The following is a 22,160-nucleotide window of genomic DNA, read 5'->3' on the forward strand; positions in this document are numbered from 1 at the left end:
ACATATACTAAATCATCATGTTGTACACTAAAAATATATACAATTTTTGTCAATTTAAAAATAAAAAATACATAAAACAGTAGAAAGCATTAATAAATTGTGATATATCCAACCAATGGCACAATGAGTATGACCGAACTACTGCTACTTGCAGTAGCATTGATGATTATCACAAGCATCATGTTGACTAGACAATTTACACACTAACTTGTATATACTGTATTATTTCCATTTATGAAGTATAAAAATTATTAAATTAATAAAATTCAGAATAGTGGCTACATTTGGAGTAGTGGCTGGCAGAAAAAGTGAAGGGGCCTCCAGGATACAGATAATGTTCCAATATTTCAGTACAAATTTCACCTTTCCCCAGCCCCTTCTCAAATTACATTTTCAATACTGCCTTCTTTGCCACACTAGTCACTGTGTCCTCCCTGTTTGCACTTTCTTTTTTATTTCATGAAAACTATAAAACTGGTGCTAAAAAGTCGTGTAAGCAGTGATGCTGCTTTGAGGATATGTTTCAATATTTTGCATTTCGTTTCATCTGTTCAATAAAATTAAAATGTCTGTGGCTAGAAATCAAGTTTCTTATTATTTTATTCCCAGAGTACTCAACATAGTATGAAGTACTCAGCAATGATGCAGAATGGAAGAATTAACACTGGGTTACCCCTTTCTCTGTTGTCAGCAGGGCCCAGTGGTGTGTGGAGCCCCCACCTCCCTAGGACATGAGTCGGGCAAAATGTGGGGTGAGAGGTAGGGCTCTTCATGGCCTGCTTCCCCCTCCCTACTCTCTTGGTATCAAAGGGGCCTGGAGGGAGCTTAAGTTATGCCTTCACAATGTAGCCACAGGGGTGTGACAGCCCTCTGTTTTCTTCTCCCCAGAGGCAGACAGAAAGAACACAGAGAGAGCTTAATACAGAGAGATCTTACACCCTCACTTAGAAACCGCAAGACAGTGAGAGCAGGAGCCCCACTTTAAGCTGCTCTCACTCCAGCTGTTTGCAATGAAGCCATGTGAGTCAGTACCCACATTTTCTGTGATGATGTCAGTGTTGATAGTGAGACACAGAAATTCTAGGCAGACAGGGGTGGGTCCTGGTGAAACCCCACCCTCAAGCCCAAAAGCCTGAAACCCATGGCCCAAAGTGAGAACTTCCATCCCTGTTTGCCTGCTGTCTCCTGATTGGGTCTTTCTAAATAATGTCTTTTAACCAATCAAAAATTGCCTTTTCCAAAACTACCTATGGCCCCCCACCACCTCCCAATCCTGTGCCTATAAAGACCCCAGACTCAGTCAATAGAGGGGAAAAAGTCGCTTGACTAGAGAAAGGCCAATTAACTTCAGAGGACAGTTGGATTTCAGAAGAGAGGTGGCTTAAATTCAGAAAGATGGCTTCACTTCAGGGAAGAGCCATCCAGAGATGGCCAGACTTCAGGAGAAGATTACCTGTCTGTCCCACTCCCTTTCCAGCTCTCTTCTCCACTGAGAGCCATTTCCATCACTTAACAAATTTCTTCGCTTTCACCATCCTTCAAGTTTCCAAACAACCTCATTCTTGGATGCCAGACAAGAGTTCGGGACCCACTGAATGTCAGTACCCAAAGAAAGTTGTCATGCTGGCCCTTTGCCCTTCCTGGTGGAGGGGGCAGCCACCCCACAAGATAAGGTGAGGGTCCCCCGATCTGATAACATACAGCTGTCCATGGATGGCGGAGCTAAGAAAGCATTGTAATATTCCTTCTGGTGCTTCAGGGTTTGCAGGCACCCCAACCTGGGCACTGCCATGGAGCTTGCTCATTTGCTCACTCCCACAAGGGGTTGAGTGTGGCAGCCTGAGTAAATGGGGCACCTCCATCACAAGTCCAATGAAGGGGGAGAAAAATCCTGCATCAGTGTGATCCAGTTTGAAGATAAAAACATGCAGATCCATCTAGACCTTGTGCTAAAAAGGAAAATTAAATAGGACTCACAGTCTTCTAACATGGAATTTAAAATGTCCAGAATACAATTTAAAAATCACTTATGATACCCAGAACATGGACAATAACAATAAGAGTGACAAAAGTCAATCACCAGATAACAACACAGAGATAAGCTGGATACCGAAATTAGTTGACAAAGATGTTAAAACAGCTAAAAGTACAAATACAATTCAATGAGGAAAGAACAGACTTTCTAGCGAGTGGTTCTGGAACAACTGGATAGCTACAAAAAAAGAATAAACTTCACCTCTTATACAGAGAAGAACTCAAAATGAATCATAGGTCATCAATGTCAGAGCTAAACCTATAAAACACACAGAAAAAAGATCATGAATAAATTTTTACAACTTTATTAAACATGATACCCAAAGTACAGTGAAAAAAGTGAAAAAACAGATAAATTAGACTTTATTAAATGAAAAACGTGTGTTTCAAAAGACACCATCAAAAAGTGAAAAGACAGCTCACAAAAATGGGACAAAAACTTGTACAGTGTTCATAGATAAGGAACTTGTATTCAGAATATCCTGAATAAATAAGGAATTCTTACAACTAGACCGTAAGATAAATAACACAAATAAAAGTGGGTAAATGACTTGACTGTCCATTTCTCAAAAGAAGATATACAAATTGTCACTAAGTACATGAAAAAATGCTCAATATCACTATTAGGAACATGTAAATCAAAACCATCATGATATACAGCTTTATACTAAGTAGAGTGGCTAAAACCTATAGTAGAAAGACAATAACAGGTGTTGTTGAGTATGATGAGAAATTGGAATGCTCATACTTTGCAGTGTAACTTTTTTTAGGCTACAAGCTACCAACAAGGCAGGGAACAGACTTTAAAGAACCGGTCCAGTAAAATTAATAGCCAAATAAACAACAACTATGGCAACAGAAAAAAGAAACAGCAACACAGCCCAGAAAAGAGAGGAGATCTGATTACCAGTGCTGACACATTATATTATTTAAAACGTCCAGATTTTAATAAAAAGTATTGTTTGATTCCATTTTTATGGAATGTCCAGAATAGGAAAAAAAACTAAATGAGTAGTGGACTGGGGCTGGAGCTGGTGGGTGAGTGGGGTGGGGAGGATAAGGAGAATTACACATAAATTTTAGGGTGATAAAAATGTTCTAAGATTAGGTTGCAGTGGTAGTTGAATAGCTCTGTTACCATATTGAAATGATTTAGTTCTATTTTAAAATAGGTAAGCTTTATGATATTAAAAGTATACTTCAATAAAGCTGTAGAACACACAAATGAAAATTATAGAACTCAAAATAATGAAATAAAAACTAAAACTAGTTGTTTTATAGCTACAAAAAAATTTCACTGCATGATCTCAAGAGCAGAGTGGAGATTACAGAAATAGAATTAGTAAATGGGTGGACAAATAAATGTATTTAATCTGATTAAGAGAGACAAAATAGGTTATTTTTTAAATGATAACAGAGTCTCAGAGACCTTTCAGATAATAGCACTACAGCTAACTTTAGTATTTTTGGCATCACAGAAGGAGAGGAGAAAGAGAATGCTACTTTAAAAAAAAAAAAAAATGAAGAGCCAGGAACAGTGGCTCACGCCTGTAATCCCAGCACTTTGGGAGGCCGAGGTGGGCAGATCACGAGGTCAGGAGATCGAGACAATCCTGGCTAACACGGTGAAATCCCGTCTCTACTAAAAATACAAAAAATTAGCCGGGTGCGGTGGTGGGCGCTTGTAGTCCCAGCTACTTGGGAGGCTGAGGCAGGAGAATGGTGTGAACCCAGGAGGTGGAGCTTGCAGTGTGCAGAGATTGCATCACCGCACTCCAGCCTGGGCAACAGAGCGAGACTCCATCTCAAAAGAAAAAAAAAAAAGGATTCAGAGTATATTCTCTGAATGCAATGAAATCAAACTAAAAATCAAAGAAGAAAGACAACAGGAAAATCTCCATACAATTGGCGATCAAGCAACAGACTTCTAAACAGCCCATGGGTCAAAAAGAAAGTCTCAAAGTAAATTTTTAAAATGCAAATAATCAGTTGAAAACGAAAATGTAAGATATCAAAACATGTGTGATGTATAATTTAAGCTCCTATCTGCTTCAAGAAACCAGAAAAACAAGAACAAAATGAATCCAAAACATTTTACACTAATAATAAACCTGTGAAAATGAAAATTAAATATATAATGTCATTTATAATTCCTCCAAAGAAAAGTAAGTACATAGGTGTAAACAATACAGCATGTACAGGAACTATATGTTATACATATATACAACTGTATGTTGAAAATCACAACATGCTGATGAAAGAAATTTGTTTAAAGTCTTCAGTAAATAGAGACATTCCATGTTCATGGATTAGAAGACTCAGCTTAGTAAAGCTATCAATTTCCCCCAGGCTGATAGACAGGTTTAATATCAGCAATGTTGGTACACTATCAATATGCCAGTAAGATTTTTTTAAAGATAAGCATATTTATCCAAAAATATATATGGAAATACCAAGGGATAGCTCTGGAATAACTAAAACAATATTGGAAAAGAAGAATACAGTGTAAAGAATCACTGTACTCAATACTAAGTCCTACATTTAGCTAAAATAATCAAAATAGTATGGTATTGCAAAGGGATAGTCATATATATATATTGACATATATGTATATATAGACGTATATATAATATATATACATATATACATTCAGATCAATGAAACAGAATCCAGAACTTAGAAACAGCCCCACACAAAGACTACCAACAGAATTTTGACAGTGGTACAAAAACCATCAACGGAGACATGACAGTCTTTTCATCAAATGATGTTAGAGCAATTGGACATCCACAGGCAAAAATATAAACCACAACGCTTACATTCACACCTCAACCAAATTAAAACAAATCACAGTTTCGATGTAAAATATAAAAATCCATAACATTTAGGAAAAACACAGAAGTTCTTCAGAAATCTAGGTCTATTCAGAATTCTTAAACTTGACATCAAAGGAATAATCTATAAAGGAAAAAGATGATAAATTAGACTTTAATAAAAGTTAAACACTTTTGTTTTCCAAAAGTGCCTGTTAGGATGCTGGATGTTAAACTACAAAGTTAGATTTGTTTCTCATTGTTAATATTCTTTTTTAATTTTGCTTTTTTCAAAAATTTATAGAATAGTAAATTTTCCAAACATTTTTGTTTTTACTTGCTCTATTTCCCATATCTTGTAAACTCCATCTAGATTTGCTTCTCTTCTTGTTTGATTGCTGCTTGCAAAAGAATTTTTGGAATGTAAAACTTTTACAGTTTTCCATGCCTTAGGATATATTTGTTTTGCCTTTCTATTTAAAGTTTATGTTAGCTCAGCATAAAAATATAGATTTGGAGTTGTTTTCCTTCAATTGAAAATACAGCTTTATTCTCAGTTATTATTTTGTCAGATATTTCCTCCTATTTTTGTGTCTTTATGAGACTAGTACTAAAAAAGATGTTGACATTCTGTTTCTGCCTTCATAGTTCTTTCCCTTTCTTATTTTGTTCCTCCTTGATATCTTTTAATTAATGTTTCTACCTGACTTCTCAGCTTTTTTTATACATTCCTCCATTTTGTCCATTCTGCTTCATACAAAAGAGGTTATTCCATATATTATCTTTCTCTTGATACTAGCTACACTCATGAGATGACTCATTACTTCTCTCTGATGGGGCATGATTCTTGGGGGCACTATCACCTGAGCTGATGTGACAGCCTGAGTCCTAGTGATCTACCTGATGGATTTGGGGCATAGAGAATGAGGAGGAACACATCCAAGGGCAGTATGTGGCATTAAAATCAGCAGCTTCATATTATCATTTCTGTATGGAAGACAATGAGGTTGGCAAAAAAGAGCAGGGGACATTACAAGATAAAATTTTTTTACCACTTACAAGGATTCAGACTTTGTACTGTTGAAATGCAAGAGGACTTTCTTATCTGTAAATATCAGCACTTAGTCTTGCTCGACTGTGTCTATAACATTTTATCATTAGAATAATGAAATTCTTATTCTGTACACACGTACTTTATATGACCCTTCATATCTGAGTTATTTACCACACAAAATAAGTCAGAAAAAAATAGAACTGCCAAATCTAATTTTCTGTGAATATGATGTGGGAGATAAATTAGAAGATAGAAAATGTATGCTTTATAATATTTCCAAGTTCATTTTTCTTTCTTATGTTTCTAGCTAGTTTGTTAAATCATCCACGGAAGAGGCAACCCTGACCAGTCTGAAGGCCGGATCATGGCCCAAAACCCCAGGAGCAATTTTTCTCCCTGCACAGTATAAACAGACATGAAAACATTTCAAATAGAAAATGTAATTGTTCTTGTGATTTTTGTTATAATACTGTTATAAAAAGGTATACTATCATGGTTACATTAAATATACCTTTTTCTGTTTTGTTATCTTAACTGACTTCTCTTTTCAGGTTTTCTGAACATGAGATACTTAGGTTTCAGGACTAGCTTCTCTCTTTATTTCTCTTTGTATATCTACCAGGCCTGGGAGATTTTGTCAATTTAGGGATGTGTGAAGGACACTCTACGGTAATATAAAAGAGGCATGCATGAGCAGAGAGGCATGCCACATATAATATTAAAACAAACAAGCAAACAAAAAAACAAGAGACAGGGAAGCAACATAACCAAGTGTACAATAGCAGAGATTTACAGTTCTATTCTGAAATTTATTTATTTAACCAAAATCTGCTGAATATTAAAAATCTACTAGTCTTTCCCTCATGGAGTTAATTTTTTTTTAATCATTTCGACATGAAAGTCCACTAAATGTGAAGTTCTGTGTGTGTGTGTGTGTGTGTGCGCGTGTGTGTCTTTTGTCAGCTAAGAGTTAATAATGCAAAAAAGAACAACGGAAATGCATTGCTATTGTAGAATCCAAGGGAGTTAATCTAAATAGCTTAGCACAATGTTTTTAAACAATGTTTTACAGTGGATTGCAACAAAAAAGTTGCAATTTTTTAATTAAAAAAACAACAAAAGAAAAATAGTAAATTTCACAATGTTATAATAAGTTAAAATCAAGTTTTACTGTTATATGTATGTTTGTTTACACTGAGAGGCAATAAGTACATCTGCAAGTAAGTATACTGCAGTTATAGCAAACTAGCACCAAAGTCACTGAATGGCAAACTATGGTACACGTTATGCTGCATTTGGATTTCAAGTGTAAAATCTTGTAAGGAGGATTATTTCCTCTTGCTATTATTGTTATAATTCTGATTATTGTATCTGTCGCAATATATCATCTTTCATATGGAGTAAGCAAACAATCTTACAGAGCCTTTACAACTAATGCAAATCTATTAATCACAGTCACATATCATCAGTAATTCCAAAAATGTTAACAAACTAAACCAACAATATTAATTTATAGGGATATTCCTAAATGTGAGATAGAACAATTTAAAAGATACCTAAAATAATTAAGTGAAATATTAGTACATGCTACTGGAAAGCACATGGATATCACAATGTGCTGATAAGAAAATTTTGATACAAATGACCCATATGTTCTTTTATAGTACTTTTGTACTATACTTTTGGCTTTGTAACCTCTACAAAACTGTTCAAATGCTGATAATTTCAAATATTTAATAATATTGAGCATTTACTGTATGTCAGACAATAATCAGTATTTATATGGATTATTTTACTTAATACTTACACACCTTATGAAATTGGTATTATTTGTGTGCTAATTCAGATGAAGTGGCTGATATGGCATACATTGAGACATAGAGAAAAAATATATATACTATATGATCTAAAGCCGTACACTACAAGATGGTCTCTTATAATAATCTCGAATACCTTTTATAGATTTAAAGATACACAAATCTACAGATATAAATTTTTCCTCAAAAGGACCAAATAATAAATAATTTATGCCTTTTGGACAGTGTCAGTTTCTGTTGAAAAAAATTCGTTTTCTGCTTTTTAAATAATTTTTTAAACTGTAAAAATTATTTTTGACTCATGGGTCATATAAAAATAAAGGTCATGGGCTGGATTTAGTATAAATGCAATAGTTTACTGGCCCCTAAGACCGAAGTCAGTAAACCCCTACTGTGTAGAGAAATATCATACTGCATAGAAAAAAATTCCGCATTTATCATCATTGTAAAATTACTTCTAAAATGGGAACAAGTAAAGAGTCAGAATGACTTAGCACAATCTTAACATTCTCGCTTCTGATCAAGGTGCAGTTACAGGGATTAGCTGTACCTGGCCACCTGAAACAAATGAAAAGCCATATAAGAGATATAAAATACTAGTTTTTCAATATATTGAACATAAAGCAAGGAAAGTTAGTTACCCCTGAGATATGGGAATCTACGTGTTTGTGTTGAGCACTATGACTGCAGCTACTGCCTAGAGAAAGTTTCTAGCCTGGGATGCAGGGGTTATAATAGTACTGTGTGAGCCACTGCTACTCTTCCTTCTAAGATGCGTGAAGGGGAAACCCTGGTGAAAGTGAGAGTCTCTTGCTAGACTTATAGGCCCAGGCATGTAAGTCTAGCTCTCTCCATCAAGGAGAGAGCTAGAAAGAGAGCTAGCCCTGGAGATCTGCGGAGTCATCCCCACCCCCCCGCCCACCCCACTCCCTCTGGCTAAGTCTTCAGTTGAGGAATGATCAATGAATGCATATGAGGAAACTACCTGAAGTCAGAGAAAGAACACCCCAAGAGGATTAGAAGGAGCAATAGCAGGGGCTCACAGGACTATCATAACTCCTGTTCCTAGCAGCCGGAGTGGAAAACCTTATCATTTATGATGCATCAGGTAAAGCTGACCTCAGCAAACTTTTTCTCTAAAGAGCCAGAGACTAAATATATTAGGCTTTGAGGACGACGTGCAGTATTTTATTTTATACAAGTCTTTAAAAATGTAAAAATCATTTTAGATCAAAGGCTATAGAAACAAACATAAGCCAAATCATCAAGAACATTTGTAGAAATACAGAAATACCCAGCACCCCCCAAAATTAAATCAACAATATCTGGGAAGCAAGCAAAAATGACTAAGCATATATCATCCAAAAGACCACCAGGAGGGCTACATAGTAGAAAGGAAAGCTTTATTGGAAATGTTAGTTTTCAAACCAGGTAGAGACAGTATCTTGCATGGATTGAAAGTGCTATCTCTTCACAGAGGGAAATGACAGGTTGACTGTTATGCCTCATAAAGTTCATATTATACAATCGAGTCATACATATTTTTCAGATAAGGAGAAAAACTATATATTTATGAGAGGAACTGAGTGCATGTGCAATGAGTAAACATATATGTAATATATATTTCGTGCTCACTTTAGGGCAGGGTTTCAGCATTAAAATGAGGTGGAATTTGACTCTTTATATCAAAAGATGAACCATAGGACACAAAGTTTGTGCATGGTCTCTACAAGCTACTGAAACTGATGTAAGCTTTGAGTTGCTTATGAGAAAAGAATATTTGTAAGGACGGTCCTCCACCAAATAAGAGCTATGGTGGTCTGGGTTGTAAATCAGATAGGAGGAGTCTGATACTTCCTGTTCTTAGGGATTTCAGCAAGAGTGTGGGGTTTTTTTGTTTGTTTTTGTGTTTTTTTCTTGTAGCTGTAGGATTTTAAAAATTTGCCATAACAGCCAGGCCCTGAATCCTTGATCCACAGGTAACTTTTTTTAAAAATTTATTTTAACCATAATGTCTGTCTTAGGTGATAACAGTGAATTTCAGATCAGACATGCAAAAAAAGGTGAAAAACACAACCAATAATTGGGAGAAAAATCAGTCAATAGAAAATGATCAAAAAGTGGTACGTATGATTGAAATAGTTGACAAAGTCTTTAACAGAGCTATTTTAATTTTATTATAGACATTCACAGGATTGGAGGAAAGATCGTCATGTTATCTAAGGAGAGAAAATATATAAAAGACTCGAATATAGTTCAAGAGATAAAAACAAACAATTATGAAGTAAGAAAATACACAAGGTAGATAGAATAATCAGTAGATTAGTTATAGAAACGCATAGTAACTTTGAGGATATAGTAATAGAATATAGTATTAGAAAGTATTCAAAATGAGAGAACAATTCTGAAAAAAAATAAACAGAGCATCAGCATGTTGTGAGACAAGACCAAGCAGACTACTGTTTGTGCAAATTAATGTTCCAAAGAAGATAAGAAAGAAGGAGGGGTGGAAAAGCTGTTTGAAAATATAATGGTCAATATTTTGCAAGTTTGATGAAGGCTATAAGCCCACAAATCCAAGAAATTCAACACAACCTAAGCACAAGAAAAGTGGCAGGGCGGGGCGGGGAGCTACAACAAAGCAAATTATAATCTCACTTCTTAAGAACAGCAATAAATCAAAGTTTTTAAATAGCCTGGAGAAAGATATCATGTGCACAAACAAACATAAGAATGACAGCAGACCTATCATCAAAAAGGATTTAAGCCAGAATGCACTGGAATAGCTAGCTTTAAAATAATGACAGGAAAAAAAGAAAAAGTCAACTTGGAATTCAATTGCCAATAAAATATCTTTGAAAACTGAATGTGAAATGAAGACTTATTCAGACATGTAGAACCTGAAAGAATTCATCATAGACCTGACTTACAATAAATATTAAATAAAGCCCTACAGGCAGAAGATAAATGGTAACCTACAGAAATCTGGTTCTACTCGAAGGAATAATGAGGAATAGAAATGGTAATTACTTGGGTAAAAGTAAATGTTTAAATCTGTTTTAGAGATAATTGAGCATTCAAAGCAAAATACAATAACATCATTGTGGAGTTTATGGTACAAGTAGAAGTGAAATCTATGGTAATATGCAAAGGTCAAATAGGAGAAGGTGAACTATGGTTTGATAAGCTAGATTGTATGTAAAGCAACATAAAACTACTTGAGCGAAGAGGGCAATAATAAGTTAAATCTGTAAAATGTAAACTCTAAACATCTATTAAATAAAAGTTGTAGTAAATAAGCCAAAAAAAGGAAGATATAAAAGGGACATATAAAACATACTTAATTCAAAACAAAAGGCAGAAAATAAACACACCAAACAATAACAACAACAACAACAAAACCCAGAACAGATTAAAAAAATAGAAAACAAGGAGAAAAGAAAGGAATTTAAACTCTAAGGGTTAATAATAACATTAAATGTAACTTATGTAAATATCCCAATTAAATAACAGAAATTATCAGATCAGATAAAGAAGCAAAACCCAACAAATTGCTTTCTACATTAAACTCATTTTAAATATTAAGAAAAATATAGGTTAAATCAAAGGTTGGAAAATATACACTGCTAACATGAAGCAAAATAAAGATGAATGACCCATATTAATATTAAATAAAGTTGATTTCAGGGCAAAAAATATTACTAGGAATATTGGTGGTCACTTCATAATGAAGACGGAATTAGCAACTGTTTTAGTAACAGAGCTTTAAAACTAATGTAGTAAAATCTAACTGAACCTCAAGAATAAATAGACAAATTCTCAACTATAGTCACAGATCTCAAGTCTTTTTTAATGATTGATAGAAAGTCAGATATCGAACAGGTGAAGGGCATTATTCTCCAACTTGCTTTAATTGACACTTATGGCACAGTCCATTAAACACTAGCAGCGTGCATATTCCTTTCAAGTGCGTAATAACTTTTACCAAGAAAGACAATATTATTTGCCATAAAACCAACCTTAAAAAATTTAAACAGATTCCAGTCATACAAAGTATGTTCTCTAACAACAATGGAATAAAATTACTGTAGGACTGTCTCCTTAGTTCAGCTAAAAACAGGATTATTGTCACACAACCGTGAAAGATTAGGCTCACATACACTTTAAGGGGTGAGAAAAATGGAATTTACTGGACAAAAAAGAAAAAAAAAGGGAAACAAGGACTCTCAGAAAAGTAAGAGTTCTGCTAACAGGTTTCCCTCCTTGCAGATTGAATCCAGGTACATATGTACCCTACTTGAACCCCGGAACAGGAGAAACCAGGCTCCTCCCCGCTGCAAATGGCATGAACTTCCCGAGGCTCCACCCCAGTGCTCACTCCTCCCAGTGCACAGGCCAGTCGGAGGCTCTGCCGGGGAGCCCTTTTTACTTGGCCGTCTCAAAATTACTAGCGAATAATAGAAAGGCACATTTTGGAATCTACAAAAGAGCTGGTAGAACTAATAAGTATATTTAGGAAGTTTGCAGTATACAAATACACAAACCTCAATTGTATTTCTATAATATTAGCAAGAAAACATCAGAAATAGTAATTTTAAAATAAAACTATTTGCAATAATGTCAAAAATGTTAAATACGTAGACTGAATCTGACAAAAGTGAAAGATCCATAGACTGACAAATTGAAAACCCTGCTAAGAGAAAGTAAGGAGAGCTAAATAAATGGAAAGTTGGCCTCTGACATCATGGAAAGACTCAGTATTGTTAAAATGCCAGTTCTCTCCAAATTGATATACATATTCATCACCACCCTAATCAAAATGCCAATGGGCATAGTTTGGGAAGTTGAGAAGCTAATTCAAAATTCATGTGGAAATGATGAGGACTTAGAATAACTGTAACAACTTTGAATAGAAAAGAACAAAATTGGAGAAATTACGTTAATTGGAGGATTCAGGACTTATTATAAATCTACAATATCAAGACAATGTAGTATAGAATAAATATAGATTAATAACTCAATGGGAACAGGATAAAGATTTCAGAAATAAATCACACATATGGGGTCAACTTTCAAAAAGGGCTAACAACAACCGCAATTCTAGCACAATTCTTGACAAACATATTACAATCATCAGATATCCCTATGCAAAAAAGATGAACTTTAATCCATAAATTGCACCCTAAAAATTAAATCACAGTCTAGATGTGAAACTTATGAGAAAACATAAAAGACAAACTCTGTGAACTTGGGTTAAGAAAAATTTCTTAGATATGATACTGAAACCAAAAATTTGTATTACACTTTTTTAAACAATTACACTTCCTGATATTATGAAGTATATAATTGAATAAAATATTCACATAAGTCTAAAACTAATATATCCTATAGGATATGAAACAAAAAAAACAAAATTAAATATTTAACCACTTCTGTATGTATAAAGAATTATCCATGTGTCAATAAATTTAAGTGGTGTTATGTCTGTAATCATGTACCACTCCTGTTTACTTTCTTGCTTTTATAAACTCGTTTCACAAATATTTTCTGCAATTGGAATTAGAAAACTGTTTTGAAAAGATTGAGGTTTATATTTGCAAATCTCCCTAATGGCACAAAATGTCATATAAATGCTAATTTTCTTAGGTATTTATTAATTTTAAAGCAAATCTCAATAACTCTTTGCATTTTAGAAAAGCTTCTTAACACAAAAATTCAATGTTCATTTTCAACATTAATTAAATCTGAAAACGTGCCTAAGAAGTAGAAAATGAGTGTATTAAACCAGTTCTCCCAGTGCCTAAAGCACTCACTGTTAGTTAACAAGGCAGCTTTGGAAATTGTTAATTCCTATAAGCTTATGAGCACATTACTCAGGATGCTGGGAAAGGAACTTGCTTATCTGTGCTCTAGACATTCAAAACAAACAATGCAGAACTTGCAAAAGACTGTTTTAATTATTAGAAATTTCAGAATCGATTTATTATTTTATCCTATGATATTATGTATTTTAGTGGTTAGGCATGAATTTGGACTTTGTTAAGTACAAGCCTTTTTATTGGTGTTATTTTATGTATATAGAATTACATGATTGTGGTGATGAGTTATTTTAATTCGTTGTTTTAAATAGTAAATCGATGTGTGTTTGTATTGTGTAGTGTGTGTTAAATAGCATTCAAAAGGCACATGTATTGAAAATAAGTCTTTCTATTCTGTGTCCTAATCACTGTTCCTTTCCTTTGTGATTTCCCTTACAGATGGTCATGTGCTGAAAACTGTTCTCCAACTAGGTTGGATCCCTTCCAATGTATTTTGAAGGTGTTTCCTTATCAGTTTGTATAAACCTACCTCATTCTTTTTAGGTGGCAAAGTATGGCTGTAGCATAATTAATGCAGCTAGTCTCTGATTGATGGGCATTTATTTTGTTTGAAATAATTTGCCAGCATAAGCAGCACTGCCCGGAACGTTGCTGTGTACATGTGCACACATAAGAAAACTGAAGATGTTTGAACCAGGGAATGAGTCTCTGTTCAGAAAGGCAAGGCATCCGCTCGGTGCCTTTGTCAAACGGTGGAACAGGAGCATGCCTGTGGCAGTCCGCGCCTCCCTTCCCCAGCCAGTCCTGGAAGGAGGCCATGCCGGTCTCCATACCTGGGAGAAACCCATGAGGACGAAGCTCTGATTTTTTATTTTCCCCAAATTCCTACCTAAGGGGTCTAGGGAGTCATGCCCTGAAAACCATAAATTCTCATCAGATGGGTTTTATTTGACCCTATATATCGTGACTTACTTTTCAATCTGACTGTGGTATATAACATTATGAGACAAGGAAAAATTATTTAACCCCAAAATATATTTCCTTGCCATACCTTGAAATTGACCTGCAAAGTCTCTTGAGGGAAAAATCCACATTCTATAGAGAATCCCCATTCCCCTTTGTTTTCCTTCCTTCCTTTCCAAATCCAGGAGATAATCAACTAAGAGCCAGGCACCCTTTTAAGTCCAATAAGAAAGAGTTTACAACCTGCTGTCTCTGAAGTCTGCTATCTGAGAGCTTCCTCTGCACAATAAAACTTGGTCTCCACAATCCTTTATCTTAACCTGAACATTTCCTTTGATCCCAGATCTTCAGATAAACTCAACCATTGTCAACCAGAAAATGTTTAAATTTACCTATCGCCTGGAAGCCCCTGCTTTGAGTTGTCCTGCCCTTCTGAACAAAACCAATGTATTCCTTAAATGTATTTGATTGATGTCTCATGCCTCCCCAAAATATATAAAACCCAGCTGTACCCCGACCACCTTGGGCACATGTTCTCAGGACCTCCTGAGGGCTATGTCATGGGCCATGGCCACTCATACTTGGCTCAGAATAGATTTCTTAAAATATTTTACAAAGTTTGACACTTTTCATTGACACCTGGGTGCCAATCTGGATGCCCTCAAGGGTGGCATCAGAGCATATCTGGGATTGGTCAGAGCTGGGAAAACAGCTCAGGATTCACCGACAATGTTTGTGACAATCATCACATTCTCAGTCAACTAGAAACTCCCAGGGCAGGAAAATGACCACAGAAGTTCCCCTCCTAAGGCTGCTGCTCTTGGGTCACTGGGTGCAGAGTGTGAGGAAAACGTGGGGACTGCGATTTTCAGTCCTGATGGCTCAGATGAGCTGGTGACTGTCGCTTAAGCTGACTCAAAGGGAGGTCATCTCATTTTCCCTTCATTCATTGCCTCACAAAGTAACTGATAACCCCAGTGGTTAAGAGCTCATGAGCAAACATAGAAAGATTTTTGAGAAACACAACATATTAAAACTTTAAAAAACAACCAAACAAAAACAACAATCCTGTGTGGAATGCTGTGGTGCATCCCCAAGATCTCCCTGCAGGACTAAGGTGATCAGCTTTCCAGGTGCTGGGAGAGTTGGGAACTGACTGGTCTTCATGGAGCCCCCGAGGAACTAGCCACCTGTCAAAGGGAGTTGACATGGCCAAGGTTACAGCCCCTTCCTGCCGGCAGGAAAACTCAGATCCTGGCCCCCTTTCATTTACTTTTCTTGTGCACTAAGATAAGGGAAAATCGTTGCCTATGCTAATGGAGGGAACCTCAGAGCCAAGCCCTAAGCCGCGTGGCAGGAATGAGAAGGACACTACGCCTTCTCATTAGAGCCTCCGCCACCCCCCCACTACTTTAAAAGGATAAGCTGGCTCACGTAGCAGGTTACATGACACTAGGTCGCCTGAAAGCCTCAAGAAAATTTCCACGCAAAGAGGAACACTGAAAACATTGTATAACCCAACCCAGTGGCGTTTACCTTTTAGTTTTTTATCTCAGCTCTGAGAAACCCAGTGAAGCAGTTACATTATCTGGGGCAAATACCCAGGGTTTGTCATCTCGAGCCACGAAAATTTAGGACACGGACACACACGAGGAGTTTAGGAGTGGAAGTTTAATAGGCAAAAGAAAGAGAAAGGAAAAGAGCTCTCTCTCTAGTGAGAGAGAGGGTACTTCCGAGAGGAAAAGGTCGGAGGTGGATGAGCCAGATTTTATAGTCCGGCTTGAGGAGGCTGTATCTCATTTATTGTAGGGCTCACAGATTGGTTCAATCAGATGTGACGTTTACATAGTCCTGGGGGAAGGCTGGTTACCCCACCCTAATCTTACTATGCAAATGAACTCACCTCTTGTCTCTCAACTTGTCAGCTTTTTACTGTACAGATGGCTGGCAGAGAAGGGAAGATGGAGCTGCCATCTTGAACATGTCTAGTCCCAGGTAGTTCTTTCCTGGCGACATTCACCTGTGCAAGCTCCCAGCTTCCTTGTCTATGTCTGCAGCTCGACTTTACAGGCTACTCTTTGTTAGAAAATGATTTGGGGCTTCTTTTCATTAAAAGGAAAACCTTCCCGAGGACTTCTGTACCCTCACTATCTGCCTAAGTAATTTCTTCTTAACTCCTGTATCACCAAGATTCAAAGTAAAATGGGGATTCTTAATTTCTAAAGATTCTTGAATCTTGAATCCTGAATCACCAAGATTCAAAGTAATAATGGGATTCTTAATTTCTAAAGAACCTAGTGCTCTATCTTCTGGCTATGCCTTGGAAGCTGCAAATACACAATTCACTTTGGTAAGTGAAACCTTACTAAAGATAATTTTGAATTACAGTACCATTATGTGTGTTATAGTAGGTAGGTAGCCAGACATGAGCAGGGAAGAAGAGGGCCACCACACCACCAGGAGTGTCAGGCAACTGTGAGGTGATGGTCAGATCGTTGTTAAACTGTCTCTCTACAATAGTAAGTGGTCACAGCCGGCTCCAGGGAAAGGCGTTCTCCTAGTAGACAGAAAACACCTGAAGATGATAATCAGCAGCTTCCCTATAAGATCTCAGGAGTTGGGCTGGGCGTGGTGGCTCATGCCTGTAATCCCAGCACTTTGGGAGGCCAAGGTGGGTGGATCACCTGAGTGAGGAGTTCGAGACCAGCCTGGCCAACATGGTGAAACCTCATCTCTACTAAAAATACAAAAATTATCCGGGCATGGTGGCAGGTGCCTGTAATCTTAGCTAATTGGGAGGCTGAGGCAGGAGAATCAGTTGAACCCGGGAGGCAGAGGTTGTAGTGAGCTGAGACCACGCTTTTGCACTCTAGCCTGGGTGACAGAGCCAGACTCCATCTCAAAAAAAAAAAATCTCAGGAGTCAGGTGAGTGGGCTCAAGCATGCACACTGAAAAGCAAAATGGCAGAGTTTAATTGCTCTATGACCTTCCTCTAGGAAACACTCAACTGACAGGGGAGGAATGCCTCAAGTCAGCAGGTGAACAACTCCAGTAAGCACACTGTGCACGCAACCCCTCCGAAGTGCTGACAAGCCACTGCACATATGGGTGCCTACCCCAAGGGAAGAATCAAGGAACATAACCCTGGAAGCCTGTCAATGTAGTAGACCCCAAGTCAAAGGTCAAACTGCACCCTTGAGTTTTTCAAGTCACCAGCTTGGTCCTCTTCCAAGTGTACTTTACTTCCTTTCTTTCCTGTTATAAACTTTTTTTTTTTTTTTCATGACAAAGTCTCGCTTGTTGGCCAGGCTGGAGTTTAGTGGCATGATCTCAGCTCACTGACTGCAACCTCTGCCTCCTGGGCTCAAGCAATTCTCCTGCCTCAGCCTCCCTAGTAGCTGGGATTACAGGTTTGTGCCACCACACCCGGCTACTTTTTGTATTTTTAGTAGTGTTAGGTATGAGTTCTAAATTTCTTTTCAAAGAATAAATATGTCAGTATGTTCAATTCTTTGCCTTCTACTTTTAAACTTAACTTCCTCATAAAGCAACCTTTTTCGATTACCTGCTCCACACTGACTCATTCTGATTACCTGCTACCTGCTCTGCCCTGACTCATTCTCCACCCTGTATAACCATTTTTTTCCCGCCAAACCACTCACCCCGTCACTCTCTTTAAATTAGCCAGTCGGAATTAGTTTAGCCTGTGCGGTCTAACCCTAGCCAATAGGGAAATGACACAGCAGCAGGGGACACATGCATCAGGGATAAGAACCCCTTTCCCTCCCTTCTCCAGGTGTGCACTCACCACTGCCCCATCTGTAAGGGCGTACCCTTCTATGGAAGTAACCTGCCTTGCTGAGAATTAAAAAGAAAAATTTATATTCGAGTGCTATTTCTTTTGTGGCACTGAAACTTATTTATAACAGTAGAGGCGGGGTTTCACCATGTTGGCCATGCTGGTCTCGAACTCCTGACCTCAGGTAATCCACCTGCCTCAGCCTCCTAAAGTGCTGGGATTACAGGTGTGAGCCACCGCACCTGGCCTATAAACTTTTTAATAAACTTTCACTCCTGCTCTAAAACTTTCCTCAGTCTCTCCTTCTGCCTTATGTCCCTTAGTCAAATGTTTTCTTCCGAGGAGGCAAGAATTGAGGTTGCTGCAGACTCACATGGATTTGCTGCTGCTAATGTGGAACATTTCAGATGGACAAGACTATTCATTGATGAAGTGCATTTGTAAATAAGGGCTCCCAAATTAGACCTATCCAGAGAAGCCTATTTTAATTGATGTGCAGAAAAGTCTAAAAAAGATTTTTTTTTAAAACCGCCTGTTTAAAAGACTCTTTACAAAAGGCAAATGAAGTGCTTAAGCAACTAATTGATAAGAACAATTAAATCTGATAGTGTTTTTAATTAGTTGCCATGGCTCCCTGCAGAGAAAGAGAATGCTAGATAAATGTTTATAAAAGTGAAATCTTCAGGTTAACTGGGTTTGTTTCTTTAGCTACCCTTACATCCTCCTAAATTCTTGGTCAGAGCCATCTATGCTGACCCCAGGGATAGTAAATGCTTGCTAATGAACTCTGCTATGACTTTAGTAATCTAGTAAAACATGGGAGCTGAACTGGAAAGCCTAGAATTTCACATAACATTGCCTTTGCTGACCATCTTGTCTTAACTTCGCTCTTCATGCCTTTCCTTATCCCAGCAAACTGTGGCATTTAGAACCAAAATCTAAATTCTTTGCCTTTGAAATGTAAATTTTCTAGCTAGGACTCATCCCTTTGGAAATGACAATTTAGGGTGGTCTAGCTCACAATTGCTTAGGGCAATGGAACAGACAATTGAAAAATTGGTAATCTCAAAGGGTAGGAAAAAAATTGGAACTGTCAAATAGAAAATCTTAATTAAAACTTTAAGATCTTTGCATCTATCTGTATGTTTATGTATGCACATCTGTTTGTATATGTGTGATATTTTTCTGCTTCCAAATAGTGTACAACTAATTTATTAAATTCTTTGAAGGAGTTCTGTTCAAATTGGCTTAGGGATAAATGAGTTCTCATACAAATTAAGTATTTACAAAACCTTCAGAAAAGTAGAAACTGACCCAATATTTTCCTACATTCATGTGATTTGGTTTAATTTTTGGCAAATAAAAGCTGGTTTTAACATTTTAGTAAAATAAAATAGAAATGTCTTCAAAATTGTCAGCATTAAAAACGCACGCACACGTCCATTTTTACCTAAATTTACTATTAGTCAACAAGCTTATGGTATCTCCTAGATGTCTCAGGTAATAAAACTATAAATCCAACCTAAGAGCAGAAGGCAGAGTTAAAATAAATTATTTGATGAATGTGAGTCAAAAAGCAAAAAGATGGTGGGAAAAACTGTGTTTACAGTTTTATTTGGGGGACCTTGAGAAGGAAAGAATTCACCCAAATCTTCAGGTGTTAAAAATAAGTTATTTGATGCATTTCAGTCAAGGAAGTAAAAAGACAGAGGAAAGAACCATGTTTAAAGTCTTATTTTGGGGGCCTTGAGAAGAGAATTCACCCAAATCTTTAGGTGTTGCAAACACAGTATGATGGCAAGTCTTTGGCTTGGCTTCTTAACCTCAATAGGCTTTGAAATATCTAATCTGAAATTCCTTGTCAAAAGTTCCAGCAAAGCACACTTAAAATGTTCCCATATAGGCAATCACTATTCTTGGTACACTTAATAATCAGGCTATGTTTAATGAGACTAGTCCTATTTTGCAGACAAATTGGTCTTATGTGGTTATCTTCAGTAGGATTGGCAGTGACAGTAAAGAGAAAGATAATGTTTCAGAAGAAAATGGTACACCTGTTACTAGATTTAGCCCTGTTCATGGTTTTGAAGCTTTTTATTATTTACCTGTAAACTGGACTGGACCTGAACCCTTCTGTTTTCCTACAGTCCCGTTTTCTCCCACTTGGCATCTCTGAGAACAAGAACTGCTCTGTCCCTGAAGCCCTACAGGCTGAAGCTGGACAGCTTGACGTAAATTTCAGCGGCTTGTGCCTAACCTGCAGTTCACTCAGAGAGTTCACCAAAATGCTCAATGCCATAACTGGAGATTGATATGGTTTGGCTCTGTGCCCCTACCCAAATCTCATGTTGACTTGTAATCCCCAGTGTGGGGGGAGGGACCTGGTGAGAGGTGATTGGATCATGTGGGCAGATGTCCCCCTTGCTATTCTTGTGATACTGCGTGAGTTCTCATGAGGTCCGGGTTTTTGAAAATATGTAGCACCTCTCCCTCTGCTCTCTCTCCCCTGCTCTGCTATATGAAGATGTACTTGTGTCCCTTTGCCCTTCCAGCATGATTGTAGGTTTCCTGAGACCTCCCCAACCACTCCTTCTTACAGCCTGCAGAACTGTGAGTCAATTAAACCTTTTTTCTTTATAAATTACCCAGTCTCAGGCAGTACTTTATAGCAGTGTGAGAATGAAGCAATACAGAGATATTCAACCTGCAGAGCAGAAAAATATTCCTCAGGCTCAAATCCAAAAATTTCAACTGAGCGCCCTCTGGACTCAGAGACTCAATTTATAGTTATTTTCATCATTAACTTTTGTTTTTCTTTTGTTGATTTTAGTTTGTTTTACTCATGAGGACCCTGGCTAAGGAGCATATGCCAAACTCTTGAAATTATCCTCCTGATAGTCATAATAGTAGTCTCCCTGGTGCACTGTCACCTGTCAAAAAGTTTTAAATACCTGCACACAGCCATCTGCTTAACACCAAATGGTCTCCCTCTGTCTCAAGTCACAAAATCTCAAAGAAACATGTGATAACATATGACCTATGAATGACATGTTGAGACCAAAACCCAGAATGGTGGCAACTGAGAGTAACATAAGGTCCTATGATTCACTCACATGAGTGTCTGACCAAAAGAGGGGAGTTTGAACAACATTTTTGGGATATCATTATTTTGGACTGGGCTCCTGTACTAGGACCCAACAGACCAGACCAAACCAGAATAGAGTCACTCATGCTAGGTGCCATGTATTCAAACTGAAATGGGCCAGTTTTCAAAAAAAAAAAATAAAGAAAAAGAAAAGAAAAAGAAAAACAGGAAAGTCACAGCAACTAATCAGAAGGGGCCCATTTTCCCTGAGCTGTCATGACAAAGAAGTACCCTCTATTTTAACTCTATAAGGCAAGTAACTGAAATGACCTTATTTCTGCTTTCTTTAGCCTTTTCTTTCTCCAATGCTAATCCCCTCTGCTCAGCTCATCAGAATACCTATTCTATTTGATACAATGCGATGTTGCCTGATTCTAGAATTGTCAATAAAAGCCAATTATATCTTTAAATTTGTTATAATTTTGTCTTTGACACATCACAGTTGACCATTATCTCCATGAGAAGATTCATAGAGTATCCAAGGAAAAACCTAACTTAAATGTTACAGTAAGCTTTAAATATATCAAAGACAAAGAAAGCATTCTAATATCTTTTAGAAAGAAGGAACAATTCACTTACAAAAGCATAACAATCAGACTGGCATATTTTTTATCATCTTTCATTCAAGGTGCTTCAAGGCAAGCCCTTATGTCACCAGGAAAGAATGATTAATTTGCTTTTTTCCTGAAACTTCTTGATACCTTTTATTTTTCTC

General features: G+C 37.1%; 1 annotated feature.

Moving 5' to 3' along the window:
* Nucleotides 569–1,171: an enhancer, noted in NCBI's record as "NANOG hESC enhancer chr8:50516568-50517170 (GRCh37/hg19 assembly coordinates)". NCBI's record gives its function as "activates a minimal SCP1, AML or CMV promoter by ChIP-STARR-seq in naive H9 embryonic stem cells {active_cell/tissue: H9 hESC(naive)}" and the evidence as "EXISTENCE:reporter gene assay evidence [ECO:0000049][PMID:30033119]".

The sequence above is a fragment of the Homo sapiens genome, chromosome 8 (assembly GCF_000001405.40).
Source record: "Homo sapiens chromosome 8, GRCh38.p14 Primary Assembly".
NCBI lineage: Eukaryota > Metazoa > Chordata > Mammalia > Primates > Hominidae > Homo > Homo sapiens.